Source organism: Homo sapiens, chromosome 7 (assembly GCF_000001405.40).
Source record: "Homo sapiens chromosome 7, GRCh38.p14 Primary Assembly".
Taxonomy (NCBI): domain Eukaryota; kingdom Metazoa; phylum Chordata; class Mammalia; order Primates; family Hominidae; genus Homo; species Homo sapiens.
The window spans coordinates 148820257-148839709 of record NC_000007.14 but is presented as its reverse complement, the minus strand read 5'-3'; the positions used below and the strand labels follow the sequence as shown (position 1 = coordinate 148839709).

Sequence of the window (19453 nt, the reverse complement as noted above, 5' to 3'; positions counted from 1 at the left end):
AGCTGGGCATGGTGGTGTGCGCCTGTAGTCCCAGCTACTTGGGAGGCTGAGGCAGGAGAATGCCTTGAACCCAGGAGGCAGAGGTTTCAGTGAGCCGAGATCACAAGACTCAATCTCAAAAAAACAAAAAACAAAAAAAAATAGTTTTTTTTGTCATATGTTTTGCAGATTGCCCCCCCCCCATTTTGATGTTATTTCTGATATATCTTGGTTATACAGTTTTTTCTTTTAATTTTTGTCTTTCTTAAAGGTTCCAAAAGTCTTTCTTCACTTCAAGATTATAAATTATCTACCTATCTTTCCTTTAGTTCTCTGTTTTCATTTTTATATTCTAATATCATTTAACCCATCAGGAATTTCCTTTGGTGTAAAGAATGGGTAGGGGATTTGGTTTTTAATTTTGTTCTTTTTAGTTTCCTGGTTGTTTCAACACTATTTACTGAGTAATTAATGAATAGTGAGGGGCAGTTGTAAACTTGTTTTTGAAGATCAGCAGAATCAGCCTTCTTGGTTGGTGGTTTCCTGGGCAGTTCTACCACTCGAGCAAGACCTGAAGTGTTTCCCTTCAGAAACCACAGCCTGTGCCATCTTGCTCACTCACTTTCCTTCCTTCCTTCCTTCCTTCCTTCCTTCCTTCCTTCCTTCCTTCCTTCCTTATTTGACAGAGTTTTGCTCTATTACCCATGCTGGAGTGCAGTGGCGTCATCTTGTCTCACCTCAACCTCTGCCTCCTGGGTTCAAGCTATTCTTGTGCCTTGGCCTCCAGAGCAGCTGGGACTACAGGCATGCACCACCACACCTGGCTAATTTTTGTATTTTAGTAAAGACAGGGTTTCACCATGTTGGCTAGGCTGGTCTTGAACTCCTGACCTCAAGTGATCCGCCCACCTTGGCCTCCCAAAGTGCTGGGATTACAGGCCTGAGCCACTGCGCCTGGTCTTGCCCACTCACTTGAACCTCTACTACTTTGTAGTATTAAACCCAGATCCACTGATTTAAGCAAGGCTTCAAAACAATTTTACTGCCACAGCCTATATAAACTATAGATTTATATAATACTCTCTGTTCCATTTTAGTTGATTTTTCCCCCAATGACAGAAATTGTTCTTTTTTCTACTCACAGGACTGTTATTGAATTAGAAATTTGAATTTACATGTGGTGGATGAACATCACTCTTGTTACCTGCTTCATGTACTTTTTTGAGTGCTTACTACCTGTGATGATTATTCTGTTTCTGATCTCCAGTACTTAGCAAAACTGGAGTTTTTCCGCAAAGCTGCAGATGAGGGAATGATTTACCTTAACAGCCCTTCAGGATTTTAACCTAGGATTAAGTAGGTTTGCATGTTTGTGATTCCTTTCATTCAGGGCCCGGCTTCTGAAGGTAGGATGCGGGGAAGAGCTTTAAGGATCTAAATTTCCTCCCAGCCTGAGCAACATAGTGAGATCCCATCTCAATAAAAAATAAAAAAATTAGCCAGATGTGGTGACACGTACTTGTAGTCCCAGCTACTCGGGAGGCTGAGGTGAGATAATCATTTGAGCCCAGGAGTTTGAGGCTGCAGTGAGCCATGATTGCACCACTGCACTCTAACCTTGGCAACAAGAGCTAGACCCTGTCTCAAAAAAAAAAAAAAAAAAAAAAGGAGTCTAAACTTCCCGATACTGTATTCCAAATGTCCTATGTTAAATGCTGTGTTATCATTCCCCGCCCCTTGGAATGTAGAAACCGTTAATTACAGGATAAAAGTGAACTGAGAAGCAAATACCCTTGTGTTGTAGGGTAGAGGTTCTTCACCCAATGTGGAATTGGTCTGTAACAAATACTGAACAACACAAACTGAAATAATTTACAATCTGATATGAATTACTCTTTTTCATTTCTTAACTCCAACACTTGATTAGTTGCTTTCATTAAATACATCTGTGTCAATATCTTAATGGGGTTTTTTCTTCCGTTTTTGTTTCTGCCTCTCTCCTGTTGGAGCGACTCATTTCTTTTCAAGTGTCGTCTTCAATCTCCCTTCTCCTATTTTGCCTTCTCAACCTGATTATGAATTCACTTCCATTATTGAGCTTCTCTTTACTTTATCCAAATTTGCTATTTATCTCATTGCAGTTTTTCTTCAGTACTTACTTTGCATAAAAGTAGCCTGAACTTAAATTATATACACGGTCATTTTCACCAGAAGGGCTAGCTAATTTAAAACTTGGGCGTGTTATCTTTTCTTTCCTCAAGTCCTGCAGAATATAGGGTAGTTTCAGAAATCACCCCCAGCTTTTCTCTAGACTTGGTGACAGCTGATGCTTTCTTCTGACTCTTCCTTTCCTGGAGTGCCGACCTTCCTGCACCTTCCTCGCTGTTGTCACATGGAAAGGCTACAGGATGTTAGACAATGTCAACAGTTTACTATGTCTCTGGCATGAAATAAATGGACCAACCAGTATCTGAGAATATTTTTTACTTGGCTAATTGATTGTATGTTTTCCCCTACTATATGGAAGTTGGACTTAGCCTTTCTCATGTTAAAGATTATTCAGAGGCAGGACGGCCATGGCTGTTGTCTTTGGGATGTCCACTGTAAAATGGGGAGTCATACCTACCTCACAGGGTAGTTGTGAAATTTAAAGAAGCTAACTTTGGTAAAGTCTCTAGCACAGTGCTTGGCACATAGTAGGGTGTGTTAATTTCTTTCCCTTCCCTGCAGGCCATTCACCTGCTCTTCCCTCTACGATTTTCCATAACACAGTTTTTACTTGGAACCAGCCTTCTGCCAAGAGTCTCAGTTTGGTTGTGTACTCCTACAACTACTATTTTTGGCTTGACTTCCCTCTCCAGCTCCCAGTGGTCCAGCCACACAGTCGCCTATTGTACCAGCTGGTTGATGTAAGTCTATCCATCCTCAGAGGAACCTGGTTACTTACCAGTAAGCTGTGTTTCTCTGAAAATGTAGCATCCTTGGTAATGATTCTAGTCCCCCCCATCCCCTTTTTTTTTAAACCATTGATGATGAATCATCTCTAACTTCCTTGTGTGATCCTCAAGTTGGAACTGGAATTAGAGAATCTAATTTGTTGATAAAGGTCTCCTAGTAAGTTCCTGAGTCCAGGACACATGGCTCTGACCAGGTGAAATGTGGAGACCCATGAGGTAAAAATTCTTTTCACTACTCTGAGTGACATGAGACTTAATTATGTAAACTGTCAAGGATGATACATTTTCAAAGAAAAATAAGTTGCTGGTAAGTAACTGGGATTTTTGAGTAATTTTTCTGTAAGTCAATAAATAAGAATCCCACGTTTGTTTTCACCAACAAATGCTTTTGCATTTGAATATTTCATAAATGAAAGGAATATGGTTGTTAGTTACGGTTAATAGTAAAGAATGGGATAGGTTTCTAGATACTAGAAATACAGTGAGGTGGGGGTAGACCATCAGTTTTCTAAATAGGTGCTCTCTTAGCTTGAAACAGAAATTGAAGTCTCCATTAGAGAAAATCATCAAGTGTAGTCTGTTCATTCCAGAAACATTTTTTGAGTGCCTACTGTTTTTTTGAGACACTGTGCTGAGTATCGTTTCAAGACAGAGGTGAAGCCACACTTGGCTCAGCTGCTTTTGCCCTCAGAGAGCTTATTTCTTGTCTCTTAGTGACTCTCGCATGACTCAGAACTGAGGCGATGGGATACTGGGGTATGACAGAGGTATGGGACTGGAAGTAGTACGTAGTGCTGCAGCCTGTGCCTTAATATTTTCTGTGCTTCCATAAGTTCTTTCTGTTAATGGGAAAAATCAGCTGACTTCATTCAGAATTTGCAGAGTATTTGCTGTATCACTAGAGCAACCATAGATGAAGCAAAGCCAATGCTCCTTCTTTGTCATAGTTGAAAACTCATTCTCTAACCCTTATGTGCGACTTTGGAGTTAGGTGTTAAAGCAGGTGAATAAGTCAGTCGGAGAGGCAGCCCACTCCCCATTAAGCTTTCAAAGCACTTCTTCCTTCAGAAGCCACAGAATTAATTTATTCCTGCCAAATGTTAAAAAAATCGGAATTTTTTTTTTTTAAGAAATGAAAATTGTTTTGTACTTTAAGTCACTGGATAGTATTTGATACTATCAGTATCAGTAATTATATTCAGTATATTCGGTAATTATAAGCACCTCCACCCCCAAATTTACCCAGTTAAGTAGAAAGAAGGAAAGAAGACTTGGTAGTATTAATAAGTTGTTGTTGGAGGAGATGCTCCTATTACATTATGTCTCTATTTTCTTTTTTTTTTTTTTTTTGAGGCGGGGTCTCCCGTCGTCACCCAGGCTGGAGTGCAGTGGTGCTGATCACAACTTACTGCAGCCTTTGCCTCCCAGGCTCAAGTGATCCTCCCACCTCAGCCCCTCAAGTAGCTGGGACTACAGGCACGTGCTACCTTGCTGGGCTAATTTTTTGTGTGTTTTTAGTAGAGACAGGGTTTCCCCATGTTGCCCAGGCTGGTCTTGAACTTCTGGGCTCAAGCGATCTGCCCGTCTTGGCCTGCCAAAGTGCTGAGATTATACGCTTGAGCCACTGTGCCCAGCCATGTCTCTGTTTTATATAGTAAATACTGCATGGCTGTAATTGTTATTTTACCCCATGAGCATTGCAAGGGCAAGAACTACAGTGCAGTAATTAATTAAGCTCACGGGTGTTGCAGTCAGACTTTAAATCCAGGTTTTAATCCTGGTTTTGTAATTTGCTACCTTTCTGACTAGACAAATTGTATAACTTCTCTGAACCTCAGTGTCCTCATTTGTGAAGTTTTGATGCTAAAACTACACCATAAGGTTGTAATGAGGAATAATTAAGATAATATATACAAGCACTTAGCACAGTGCCTGCAACATAGTACGTGCTCAATAAATGTTAACTGCTGTTTTTATTGGATTATTGGATGGATGGATGAAGGATTGTATCAGAGGCCAAATAGCAGGAAGGGGAAAGATTGTGGGCTCTGGAGTGTTAGTAAACTGTTCACACCTTCTTGTTTACTCGAGTTAAGAGCCTTATTAGTATTATTACCTTTATCTTTGCCTTTTTGGAAAGCAAATTAATAGATGAATCACTGTCACAGTTCTTCCTAACTACTCCATCCTTAAACCTTTACTTCCACTAAGGAAGGAATTATTTTTGTGCTGCAGTGACTGTGATGATTGAGAGATTATCCCACTGGCCTGATGCAACCCAATGCTGAGGGTCAGGTGTGGCCCATATGCCAGATTTCTACTCTGAATTTCACCACAACTAGTTCTGCTATTTTTAAGACATTTTAAATAAAAAATTTAAACATTTAATATGTGTGTGTGTGTGTGTGTGTGTGTGTGTGTATATATATATATATAATGATTTTTCAGTTTCATTTTACTACACTTCTTTTTTGCTCTATTTTCATTGATTGTGGATTATGAATGTATGTCTAGGATATTTTTGAGAAGGCTCTGGAGGACTTACACCTGGGCAGTAGTACTCTTTAAGGAATCTCGGATTCGTAGACAGGGTGGAAAGTGCTGTGGTTATTTAGGCACAGAGTTATACCATATTTCAGAGAATCAAAGATGCAAAATTTTTCACATTTTAACATTGGAAACAACATGCATCTTAGAATCACTGTGATAAGAATGGATTATACCTTTGTTTAGTTGGCAGCATTTTTTCTTAGTGATACAGAAGATAATGATGTACCTTGAAATCGCTGTCATCATAGATTGTATGAAATATGGTGTTTCAAGGGACTATGTGCACTGACACATTTTAGCAATATGGTATCATGGCAATATAAGGAGCGGGAAGAGCAGGGGCTCCAGAGTCAGGCTTTTGGAGTTTACATTCTAGCCCGAGAACCATGCGCAACTTTGGGCAAGCTACTTATCCTTTCTTTTCTATAGTTTTCTCACCTGTAAAATGGGGGCTAAGAGTAGTACCCATCTTACAGTGTTGTAATGAGGATTAAATAGAAGACATGTAATGTGTTTAAAATAGCCTAGCACATAGAAAGTACTTAGTAATCAGCTAATATTATTAATTCAGAGATTACAGTTTTGCAGAATAGACTTAAATTTACTTTGTTGTGATTGAAACACAAACCCATTACCCTTAATATTTATGTATCATCTGATAATATCAGCAATTGACACTTAGATTTTAAAAAAGGAAGATAAGGAAGATTAACTGAACAAGTTTTCTTATTCTTTTTATTTTATTTTATTTTATTTTTTTTTTTTTTGAGACGGAGTTTCGCTCTGTCGCCCAGGCTGGAGTGCAGTGGCGCGATCTCGACTCACTGCAAGCTCCGCCTCCCGGGTTCACGCCATTCTCCTGCCTCAGCCTCCCGTGTAGCTGGGACTACAGGCGCGCGCCACCATGCCTGGCTAATTTTTGTATTTTTAGTAGAGACGGGGTTTCACCGTGTTAGCCAGGATGGTCTCGATCTCCTGACCTCGTGATCCGCCCGTCTCGGCCTCCCAAAGTGCTGGGATTACAGGCGTGAGCCACCGCGCCCGGCCCAAGTTTTCTTATTCTTATTAAGTAAGATTTAAGTGGCTTATTTGGTATACATATTACTATTCTGTGTGGTTGGAATGTAAGAGAAATGAAGGATGAGCTAGGAAATAAATGTATAGGAAAAGCATGGAGGAGTTAATCAGATCGCTGAATCTCATATAAGTACAGTTTTTGATTCTTACTGATATTGGTAAGTATGGGAAGGGTTGGAGGTTTTGAAAATTTGGAAAATTTGAAGCATTTTTGCACCCTAAGTAAAAGAAAAGAGAGAATCCTATTTGGTTTATATGACCACTTTACTGTCCTAGGTAAGGACTTTTTTTTCAAAATTAAATATTTGGGTAGGCAGCATCTCTTTACAATATGATGGCTACAGCTTAAGGTTGTCCTTTTATTCTTAAGAGTCAATTTTATTTTTTCTGTTTTAGTGTTCGGTGACCAGTGACTTGGATTTTCCAACACAAGTCATCCCATTAAAGACTCTGAATGCAGTTGCTTCAGTACCCATAATGTATTCTTGGTCTCCCCTACAGCAGAATTTTATGGTATGTAAATAAGATATCTTCTGCTTATTTGATAATAACTTATTTGAAGTAAAAAAGCATAGATAATTTTATTGTCAAGGTGAATCAAGACAGTATAAATTCTAAAAAGCTATCAAAATAACACTTGAAGTAATTTTTAAAAATTGATTAAGGTAGTTTTTTTAAGGCCTGTGCAGTATTACTCTTTTCCTATACTCTCCAAAGGAAAAGTGTTAAGCAGTAACCATACCTAGGATTAAAAATATTTAAAAGATGGGCTGGGCATTGTGGCTCATGCCTGTAATCCCAGCACTTTGGGAGGCTGAGGCAGATGGATTACTTGAGTCTGGGAATTGGAGATCCACCTGGGCAATATGGCAAAACGCTGTGTCCTCAAAACAAAAGTTAGCTGGGTGTGGCGCATGTCTGTAGTCCCAAGCTACTCAGGAGGCTGAGGTGGAAGGATGGCTTGAGGGAGGCGGAGGTTGTAGTGAGCTGAGATTGTGCCATTGTACTCTAGCTTGGGTGACAGCCAGACCCTGTCTGAAAAAAACAAAAGGAATGAAGCTTATAGTTCTTATCCTTAAAAAAGTCAGTGTCCTGTAATCTAAGTCTGACTTTGAGTTTTTGTTAATTGAGAACTTATTATTTAAAACAACTTTAGGTAGCATTTTATTGTGATAATGTACATTATGGTGTAAAATTCATAGGGCTTGTGAAACATGAGCTGAAACATAGTTCCATTGCTAACTCTGACGCAGCAGCTTTTGTAATAAAATGCTAAAGAGAAACTGAAGCATGTGTTCTTGACTTGTATTGCTAAATAAAAAATATATAGTTGTATTACTTAATTGATATATAAAGTGGGAAGGCTAATAAAATGTTGATAGAAGTCCTTGGTGAACCTGCTTTGGGGAAGTTTTTAGTAACTTTTATACTTTGTACAGTAGAGTCTCAACTTCAGTTACTCTTCTGTAGTTGTATAAATTTGAGTGTAGTTTGAGAATTACATTGCATGACCTTGAGGGAAGTTTCATGTTTTCACAGACTGAAATTCTGGAAGAATATATTATTTAAATTTGTCATTAATTTATGAATCACCCATGGATTTTGCTGGTCTAGCCTGGGTGACAGAGCCAGACCCTGTCTGATTTTGCTGACCAAAGCAGATTAGGCACACAATCTTTATTGTAACTAAGATACGTTTTGGAGAGCAGGATGATGTGGATATGATTGAAAAGACAAAATATCTAAGTGTCACTTGATTTTGGCTTAGATAGAAAGAAATCAACCCCTAGTTTAAATGAGATTAGTGCAAGTGAAATGAGATGAAAACAGGCCTCTAGTGTGTACATAAGCTTGAATTTGAATATATGAATACATTAAAACCTGCATTTTAATTATATGCTCCTTTTATCCCACTTTTTCTTTTCCTTGTCTGTCTACGGTACTTGTTATCTTTATGAACTCTCCAGTTGTCCTAAATTTGTTACCTAGGGATTATTTGAGATTTTTTCCACATTCCCTGGCTGCTACTAGTCCTGTGTGTGGCCTTTCCCAGCGTGTTCTTACCTGTGGGCCATGATCATAGTGCTGGGCCGAGCCTACGCCATCTCACCCTTTAAAGAGCTTCTGTGTCCTCCCAGTCAGGCATAGCCAGTCCATTCTGCTTATTATAATTATCTTTCTAAAATTCTGTTTTCAACCAATACTCTTTTCAAAGGCCTCTTAAGACTTAGACTTGTCTTCACTTGGAATTAGTCTCTTTAAACATGTACTTCAGAACTGTCCAGTCTTTATCTATAACTGCTGTCATTTTTATTCTTCATTGAAAATGCTCTTCCTCCTATGAATGTCAACTTTCTTTACCTTGTATGCTTAACTATTCTATTCTGTCTTAACTTTTGTTTGATTGGCTATTCTTCTTTCTTCTCTGTTGTCTTCCAAAGCTTGATAAAAACTCATCTATCATCTTTACTAGCACTGTCAACTTTGATATTCATCTCATTCATCTAAATATTGAAATATTTTATGTTTTTGTAGAATGTTCTTATTTTACATATAAGTACATATCCTTTTGGCATAAACTTTAATGGACTATCAATACTCTGTATCCCTAGAATTTTATTATATTGGATGTCTTACATTTTTTTTTCATTTTACCTTAAACTATTACAAGTTAATGGCTGTTTTAATAACTGGATCATCAAGTGGAGTTTGGGAGTCTTAGGGTAGTTTTTTGGTATGGGTCTTTATAGTTGATCTTGATACACCATATTTCATCATCCTCTATTAACATCTAAAGTGCGCGTTAAAACTGATGATGGCTGGGCATGGTGGCTCATGGTGTCAGACACCTGTTATCCCAGCACTTTGGGAGCCAAGGCGGGTGGATCACTTGAGCTCAGGAGTTCGAGACCAGCCTGGGCAGCATAGTGAGACACTCGTCTCAATTAAAAAACAAAAACAGAAAAACAGACGATGTCTTCTCATAATCTAGAGCATCTTTTTCTTTCTTAGAGGTATGTACAATAATGGTGGTAAGTTTTAATGATTGATGACAGACTAAGTGCATTATTTTTTCTAGAATTAAATTTTTTTTCTGTCAACAGTTTTCTCAGATATGCTTATTGGTGAGAGGGGTCTTTTATTTTTTGATAAATTTTAGAGTTTGCTCTCTGACTAGTATTTTAAATCTGGAGAACTGGGTAAAGACATGTACACATGAAAAAAAGGTTGTATTTTAGTTATTTCACATTTGATACTTAGAGTAAACCTGCTTTTTAAATATATTTTTTTCTTTTAGGTGGAAGATGAAACTGTTTTACATAACATTCCTTATATGGGAGATGAAGTTTTAGATCAGGATGGTACTTTCATTGAAGAACTAATAAAAAATTATGATGGGAAAGTACACGGGGATAGAGGTGAGCCATATGCTTCTTCTCTTGGAAAAAGGGGCTAAAGAATTGAGAGACACTTTTGTTTATGAAGCATATAGGGCATGAGAAAAATTTTAATATTAAAATTAAGTTTTGCACTGAACTATAAGGGACTGAACCTGGGCCCAGGCCTAAGATTTTCAGTATTTTCCCTAACTATTTTTGGGAAAATTAGTTAGGAGGATCATGTTTGCCACCTGATAATTATGCATAGTTGGTTATAACATAATGGCAATAACATGTAAATTAAATAGAACTTGAGTGTATGTAGATTTTAAGATTCTTTAGTAGTAAAATTAATTAGGATTGGGGCTCTGCTTCTGTGGCATATAGGGGCTCCAACAGCCCCTACTACTAAAAAATACCGCTCCTCTAGGGACTACAGTACCTGAAATTCAATCCTTAGAGTCATGGTTTCAGTTTTTTGTGTCCAGGAGGCCCTGTTAAAGTGTCTGAAAGGATAATATTTGTAATATCATCATCCATTGTCATTATCAGCAGAAAGCAGGGTCTGAAATGATCAGTTAAAGGACAGATCCATTGTTTGGGAGGAGGCCAAAGCCACAATCAGTTCCTAGAAGATTCAGTTTTCTACTAGAAAGTTTTGGGGAGGGGCCATTCTACAGAAAGTAGCAGGTATTAAAGATAAGTTTGCTTCCTTTGCCTAACACCAGTCCTGAAAATGATCTTATCTTTTCCTCCCCTCATTTCAATAATAATGTTTTAGTGCCAGTTACTAGGCTATGCCTGTTTTGTCCAAGTAGAAAAAGGATACATAAACTTTTGACATTATTGCTTCTCCTGTGTGTTTCTGACATTTGATGCGTTTCAGAATGTGGGTTTATAAATGATGAAATTTTTGTGGAGTTGGTGAATGCCCTTGGTCAATATAATGATGATGACGATGATGATGATGGAGACGATCCTGAAGAAAGAGAAGAAAAGCAGAAAGATCTGGAGGATCACCGAGATGGTATGCCTGATTATTAGGATTCTGTGTAGCCATTACAGCTTTCTTTCAAAAACAGTAGAAAGAGTAGAAATAGGGCTTAGTTTCTTCTTTCTCTTTTTCTTTCTTTGTTAAATATCACATTGATAGCAGTATAATCAAAATTAACATATTATGGCCAGGTAGGGTGGCTAACTCTGTAATCCTAGCACTTGGGAGGCTAAGGTGGGCAGATTGCTTGAGCCCAGGAGTTCAAGACCAACCTGGGCAACATAGTGAGACCCCATCTCTACTAAAAAGTAAAAAAATGAGACAGGGTGATTGCTTGAGCCCAGGAGGTGTAGGCTGCATTGAGCTGTGATTGTGCCACTGCACAGTCTGGCTGGGTGACAGAGTGAGACCTTGCCTTAAAAAAGAAAAAAAAAAGCATAATACTTGCAACATTATCTTCACTTGAGTATCTTTGTTTCCTTTGGCTAGCAAAGAACGTAATTTTTTGTGTGCTTCACTGGGCATCATTATAATATATAACATTGATATTCACCGTGTACAAGTTGTGTACTAATCACTTCTTATGCACCAGCTCACTTAATCCTCATAATGGCTTCATGAGATGGATGTTATTATCAGATCCATTTTCTTTTTCGAGACGGAGTCTCGCTCTGTCGCCCAGGCTAGAGTACAGTGGCCCCATCTCAGCTTACTGCAAGCTTCGCCTCCTGGGTTCACGCCATTCTCCTGCCTCAGCCTCCCGAGTAGCTGGGACTATAGGCACCTGCCACCACACCCAGCTAATTTTTTGTATTTTTTAGTAGAGACGGGGTTTCACCGTGTTAGCCAGGATGGTCTCTATCTCCTGACCTCGTGATCCACCTGCCTCGGCCTCCCAAAGTGCTAGGATTACAGGCGTGAGCCACTGCGCCCCACCTGTCAGATCCATTTTCTATTTGAGGGGATAGATTTAGAGAGGTTAAGTAACTTATAAGATTACACTATTGGGAAGAAACAGAGTCAATAGTTGGTGTTCTCTACTTGGCAAAGCTCATGCTAAGGCAGCATAGAATAGAATAATTTGGCGGGTGAAATAGCAATTTCTAAGAAGCGTATTTCAAAAAAGAGAAAATAACAAAAAGGTACCTTATTGACCTTATTGATCATCTAGTTCAGCTCCTTCATTTTACAGATGAGTAAACAGACCCAAGAGGTAAAGTGATCACTCTAAGTCACAAAATCAGTTAGTAGCAGAGCTGGGAGTAGAACCTAGGTTTTCTGCTTCCCAGTGCTCTTAAAGCTTTTCATATTTGAATTTGAATTTTGTTTTTGACTGACTGGCATTCCACAGACATGTAAAGTATGTGAGAAGTAAGTAAAACACAAAATAGAGATGATTTCTTAGAAAATCAGCTTTGTTATAGAGACATAATTGGGTAGAGAAAATGAAAGATCAAAAACTTGTTTACTTCCATTCTTTTTTTCCTTTCATATTCTCCTGTTTAGATAAAGAAAGCCGCCCACCTCGGAAATTTCCTTCTGATAAAATTTTTGAAGCCATTTCCTCAATGTTTCCAGATAAGGGCACAGCAGAAGAACTAAAGGAAAAGTAAGAATTTGTTCCTTTGAGGCAATCTTGCCCTGTATGGTATGTAACTCACCATTTTGGTTTATTACAAATGGAATCAATGTAGCGGATGAGCCACTACACTTTGTTTACAGTGTTTGCAAGATACTTGAAGCAACATGTGTACTTGTGGTACTCTGCATTACAAAATATTTCCTGTAGATAGAATAAATACATATGTATAATTTATATATACACATAAACACACACATATACATAAAATTTACAGTAGTACATTTACAGGAAAATTATCTGGATACTGGTAGAAATTTGATGTTTAGTTAAAACTAATATAATATCCTTTTCCATGATATATTTGAATCATATCGATGAATTTGATTCTTGATAACACCATGCACAATATTTAGTTGGCTCTTTATCTAAATAGAGCCATTCCTTTATGTTTTAGGCAAGATAAACATCAAAAGTAACACATGGAAACCTTTTAGAAACTGTTTTCAAAAAAGTGATTTTTGTTTCATGTTTACTTAAATTTTTCTTGGTTAATGTCAGATATAAAGAACTCACCGAACAGCAGCTCCCAGGCGCACTTCCTCCTGAATGTACCCCCAACATAGATGGACCAAATGCTAAATCTGTTCAGAGAGAGCAAAGCTTACACTCCTTTCATACGCTTTTCTGTAGGCGATGTTTTAAATATGACTGCTTCCTACATCGTAAGTGCAATTATTGTACGTTTTCATTTTCTATCTTTGTTGTGGAATTATGTTTTAAAGCAGCTTGGAGAGTGCTATCATTTATTACAACTAGAATTTATCATTTAATCTTGTAGTTACTTTGACAAATATCTTTAGATCTCAGTATTATTATTTTTACTTTGTTGCTTGAGGATTGCTCTGAAATCTTTTGCATGTATTTCATTTGGACTACTATTTTCCACTAACATGGAATTCAGGTCAGTGATTTTTTTTTTTTTCCCCCGTAAGTGCTAACTAAGCAGTTGTTTTACAATAAAACTATTATTATGAACTGGTAGCCCAGAGCAACATTGCTGATATTGATGAATAAATTGTGTTAAATAAGAAATTGGCCAAAAAAATGTTCAGGTAAGTGCTTGTCGATTTAATGTAATTTTATTTTATTTTATTTTATTTTTTTGCCCTCTGGGTAAGTTGTTTTTTAAAAATACCTGCATTTGAATACAAGTAAAACGTAAAATGTTCTTAGTGAAAATGTAAGTATGGTATATACAAAAATACTTTTTTCCTCTGGCATTTCTAGGGAATGTGGTTTCTTAGTAAATTTTCCTGGTAATTGAAACTTCTAAGCACAGTTTAAAAGCGTCAACTACTTTTGAGGCACATATTTTGAAAATGTATTTAATACTTCCTAATTTTCCTAGAGTAGTTTGCTTATTATAGTTTGGTTTTTCCTATATTGTATTTTAGTACGTCTGTCTATGGCATGGTAATTTCTTTAGGGGCTTTGACCCATTGTAAAATCGTTTTCCCCTGTACTCAACGGCCCCACATTGCTTTGTTGTTTTGAGTTCCTGTGCCTACCATTGACAGATTTATTCCTCCTCGTTCACCAATGATAACGTCTTTTTAAGCTTGCCCAAGCAGCTGTACCTCACCTCCTCCTAAGTGTTTGCTCTACTTGTTTTTGCTGCAGCTAATAATGTGTTGAGTGATGTAATACATTGGTCTGGAAATGTTAAGTTTTGTTTTTGTGTGTGACATATTAGTGGTTTAGTTATCTTAAAATAGAAAAACTTGAAGTAGATTTTTAGAATTATCATTATATTGTTACCTCCTTGCTCTTGTTCTAACTCCTCATCTAGTTTAAATTGATTTGGTAGTTTTAAAAATTCGTAGTAAGTCATCCATTTGTTGCTTCAGCCATTGGACAGTTAAGCCCTTGAAATAGTTGTCTTGAATTTCATTTTAATTTCCCTTTACACACCATGAATTTATGAATTACATCGAGTTTTTATTAAGACTATTGGACATTGTATGTAGATATCACTATAGCAAAAGAATTGAGTGGAAGCACTATTTTGGAGTCGCTGAAAGGTCCTTCCAATTTGTTGTTTATAGATGTAGCATTTAATAAAGTTTTTTTGCTGTAAAAATGAACCATAGAAGTAGGACACTACTTTTAAACATTACAAGTTTTTTATTGTGCCATTCAGAGATGAGTAATTTTTTTTTTTGTTAACTTGAATCTTGAACCTGTTACTTACCTCATTCTAGCTGGGGAGAACAGTGGAATATTTTACTTTAATAAAGTTGGCTTTCATGGGGCTAATTGGCTGCCTCCTTGTAGCATTTGGTGGCCATGGGTCCAACTGTGCTAGGCCCACTTTTACTTCTTTTTACAGTAGAGCCAGTGTCTTCATCATTCAGTCCTATTGAGTTCTGTAGGAACTTCATTGTTTTACGTTAACTTCGACAAAATACCACACATGGTATATTTTTCTTAGGTAAAATAAGTTACTAAATAAATCATTAAATATATATAATCATGCATTACTTATGGACGGAGATGCATTCTGAGAAATGTGTTGTTAGGTGATTTTGGCATTATGTAAACACAGAGTGTACTTACACAAACCTAGATGGTACAGCGCATGACACACCTAGGCCACATATCCCTGCAGCATGCCACTGTACTGGATACTGGAGGCAGTTGTGACACATTGGCAAGTATTTGTATGTTTAAATCATAATAAACATAGAAAATATACAGTAAAAATACAATATTATCTTATGGTACCACTGTTGTATATGCGGTCCATCATTGACTCAGATGGTATGCAGCACATGACTGTTTCTTTTTTGTTGTTGTTGTTGTTTTTTTTTTTTTTTGAGACGAAGTCTCGTTCTGTTGCTCAGTCTGAAGTGCAGTGGTGTGATTTCAGCTCGCTGCAACCTCCGCCTGCTGGATTCAAAGGATTCTCCTGTCTCAGCCTCCTGAGTAGCTGGGATTACAGGCGCCCGCCACCACGTCCAGCTAATTTTTGTATTTTTAGTAGAGATGGGGTTTCACCATGTTGGCCAGGCTGGTCTTGAACTCCTGACCTCAAGTGATCCACCTGCCCTGGCCTCCCAAAGTGTTGGGACTACAGGTGTGAGCTACCACGCCTGGTCGATTTTATGTTGAATATAGCATTTTGTGCTTTAGTTTTCTGGTCTCTTATCTTGGGGATACGGTAGTACTTCCTTTACAGAGCTGTTGTGAGGATTAGATGAATTAATGTGGGGAAGATACTTAAAATGGTACCTGGCTCTTGTTAGCTATTGTTGTTTTTAAAATAGGTCATCATTCACATGGTTTACGTTTCCAAAAAGTATTAATATGAAGATGTGCTGGGCGCGGTGGCTCATCCTTTTAATGCCAGTGCTTTGGGAGGCAGAGGTGGGAGGACTGCTTGAGCCCAAAAGTTTGAGGCTGCAGTGAGCTATGATCATGCCACTGTACTCCAGCTGGGTGACAGAGTGAGACCCCATCTCTTAAAAAAAAAAAAAAAGTATGAAAATGTGTACAATAAAGTCTCCCAATGACTTTCTGTTCCCCATCCTTCGAAATTTTACCTCACTCTTCCACTTTTATTAGTAGTTAACCACTTTTATTGGTTCTCGTATTTTTTTTACAGTTTCTTTGACAAGTATAAAGATACCCTTTTTTCTGACCGTCTTATTTACATGGTGGCATAGCATTCAGGCTTTTCCCTTTTTTTGGAATAAGGATAGGATTTAATATTGTAGCTATTAGCTTTATCTGTATAGCTGCATAGCCTGTGCTGTAGGAGGTTCCAGAACTTACTGGACTGGTCTCTAATGGTGACCATTTGGATTATTTTGAGCCTTATGCTGTAACGATGCCACAGCAAATATCTGTACCCATTTCATGCAAGTTTAAGTTTACCTGATAAACTCTATTTAGGTATTGCCAAATGACCTGCCATATGGGGATGCAGCACTTTAAAGCCCTACCAGCAAAGTCAGAGAGCCCTGCCCATAGAAGGTGTTACCAAACTAATTTTTAAAATTGATTTTATAAGTGAAAAATGGCTTTTAGCATTATTTTTAAATTCTTGTTTTTCTTTGTTTTTTAATCTCTGCTTCCCACAGGTGATAAGCATTGTTTTAATATCTGGATTTAATTCCTTTGAATGAGGGTAGGATCTTCCTATATGTTGAAGAGTGAACTATTTTTATTCTTTGTTTTTTTGATTTTGTGAGACGGGTCTCGCTCTGTCGCCCAGGCTGGAGTGCAGTGGTGCAGTCTTGGCTCACGGCGACCTCTGCCTCCTGGATTCAAGTGATTCTCCTGCCTCAGCCTTCTGAGTAGCTGGGATTACAGGCGCGCACCACCTCACCTGGCTCATATTTTTATTTTTAGTAGAAACAGGGTTTCACCATGTTGGCCAGGCTGGTCTCAAACTCCTGACCTTAGGTAATCCACCCACCTCAGCCTCTCACAGTGCTAGGATTACTGGTGTGAGCCACTGCGCCTGGCCTATTTTTATTCTTGGTCTCATAGATCTTTTTGATGTCTTAGGAGCTTTTTATATAATCAGGAAATTAGGTTTTTTGAAATATGAGTTGCAATTTTTTTCAAGTTTATTTGGTAAAAGTCCCATAAGCAAAGTTTAAACTTTTTTTTTTTTTTGAGACAGTCTTGCTCTGTCGCTCAGGCTGGAGTGCAATGGTGTGATCTTGGCTCATTGCAGCCTTTGCCTCCTGGGTTCAAGGGATTCTTGTGCCTCAGCCTCTGGAGTAGCTGGGACTACAGGCATGTGCTACCACATCCAGCTAATTTTTCTATTTTTAGTAGAGATGTGGTTTTGCCATGTTGGCCAGGCCGGTCTCAAACTCCTGACCTCAAGTGATCTGCCCGCCTCAGCCTCTGAAAGTGCTGAGATTACAGGTGTGAGCCACTGCACCTGGTCAGTTTAAACATTTTTTAAAAAGTAGTTGAATTTATCAGTTAGCTTTCCCATTCCAAGATTATAAAGCGTTTCTCACTTTTTCTAGTATGTTTTAGGCTTCATTTTTAAAAACATAAATCTTTGATCCATTTGGAATTTAATATGATGTGGATTATAAATCTGATCCTCCTCCTCACTTCCAAAGTTGCCTAGTTGTTTCATTTACTGAAAAGTTCATCTTTCACTACCTTGAGATATTTCCTTCATTGCCTGTTGCCATATGTATTTGGGTTTCTCAACATTGTGTTCCTTTAGTCTATTCATGAGGCGGTATTCAGAGATCTCCTGGCAATTCTTGTTTTTCTATATAAATTTATTTATTTAGAGAGAGAGATATATATACATACACACATACATACATACACAGGGTCTTGCTCTGTCACCCAGGCCAGAGTGGTGCAGTGGCACAATCATGGCTCACTGCAACCTTGACTTCCTGAGCTCAAGCTCTTCTCCTATCTCAGCTTCCTGCGTAGCTGGGACTACAAGCATGCACCACCATTGCTGGTTAGTTTTCTTTTTCTTTTTTTGAGATAGGGTCTCACTATGTTGCCCAGGCTGGTCTTAAACTCCTGGCCTCAAGTGATGCTCCTACTTTGGGCTCCCAAAGTGCTGGAATTACAGGCGTGAGCCACTGCACCCAGCCTATATACATTTCAAAATCTGTTTGTCTAGTTCTTTTTAAAAAAAATTAGTGGTATGTTTATTGGAATCCCATTAAATTTATAAATTACCTAATTTCTTTTTAAAATATAAGGGTTAAGTCTAACTAACCATACCATCACCTCTCTTTTTGTGTCCTTTAATTATCTCCCAAGTTTTCTTTATGTGACTCTTGTACATTTTTTGTTGAGTATTTCTAGGTATTAAACTTGCTGCTGCTGTTGGGCTTTTTCCACATTTTGTCTTCTGTTTTGTACCCTGCTACCTTACTGCATTGTCTTCATGTTTTATCAGTTTCTCAGTACATTCTTAGGAGTTTTCCAGCTGTGTAATTATACTGTCTGTAGTTATTAATGGTTTTACCTTCTATCCAGTCTTTATAACTGAAGCTTCTTTCTCTTTTCTACCTACTTTATTTATTTATTTTTTGGTTGGGCGGGGGAGGGGAGTGGGGAGGCTTTCTGATAAAAACCAGAAAGCCTGCTAGACAAATTCTAAAAGAGCTGTAACTGTCTTTTCTACCTACTTTAGCTTGTAGTTTCAGTACAGTTTAAAAATTAGTAGTGCTGGTAGATAGAGATAAATGTTCTGTCTCTTCTGGATGAGTTTTAGAAAATTATTCTTTACATCCAGGTTTTGAGATTTATTTGTATGAAGTTTATGTGTTCTCTAATGTTCGTTTTATTTTTGTTAATATTCTTGTTCTCTATATATTTCATTGTCACTTTTTTGTTAAGAAGTGGTTTTTGTATTTTAAATTATGTATTTTTTTCTTCAGAGAACCAGCTACAATGTTAGTTTAACTCATAAACAGAAAAACAGTTGTATTAGGGTTCCTTAACAAACGTAATCCAGCACCAGATTAGTATTGGTGTTAGGCTGTCTGGAGCCTAATTGCTCACACGCTTCCAACAGAATCTGAGCCTTGAATTTTTCTTCTTTAAAAACACAACTTTGTCCTTTTTTTTTTTTTTCCTTCCTTTTCTCAGTCTTTAAATATGGCTTTTTACAAATATTTAAAAGATGATTTGTTTTGTGGAAATGTCACTTGTTTTTCTCCAAATTAATTTTCATCTTGTATAATTCTGAATAGTCCATTTCCAGCATTTCCCTTTTGTATATGAGGAAGTAAGTTTTTGCAAGAAATTCTGTGAAGTTAGCACTGCTGTCAATGTTCACACTCTTTTCATGTAGCAGTGTACCCGCATTTGAATCTTTCTGTTACATTATTTTGGAATTTTAGGTTTCAAACAGTGTATCTTTCTAAAA

At 37.7% G+C, this 19453-nt stretch overlaps 1 protein-coding gene and 1 pseudogene across 43 annotated transcripts in view; one reads left to right on the top strand and one right to left on the bottom strand.

The window, feature by feature from the left end:
- Nucleotides 1–19453, top strand: part of EZH2 (enhancer of zeste 2 polycomb repressive complex 2 subunit) — a 76909-nt gene that overhangs the window by 44582 nt on the left and 12874 nt on the right. For 14 of the 43 annotated variants that reach the window (NM_001203248.2, XM_047420001.1, NM_001203247.2 and 11 more), the window contains 5 exons: nt 6960–7076; nt 9862–9982; nt 10830–10970; nt 12444–12546; nt 13078–13241. In NM_001203248.2, the coding sequence (NP_001190177.1) occupies nt 6960–7076; nt 9862–9982; nt 10830–10970; nt 12444–12546; nt 13078–13241 (646 nt within the window). Of the gene's footprint in view, nt 1–2709; nt 2889–6959; nt 7077–9861; nt 9983–10829; nt 10971–12443; nt 12547–13077; nt 13257–19453 lie in introns of all 43 variants that reach the window. The other 29 variants (XM_011515887.4, XM_047419999.1, NM_004456.5 and 26 more) reach the window with 6 other exon arrangements.
- On the bottom strand, nt 18641–18695 carry RNU7-20P (RNA, U7 small nuclear 20 pseudogene; annotated as a pseudogene).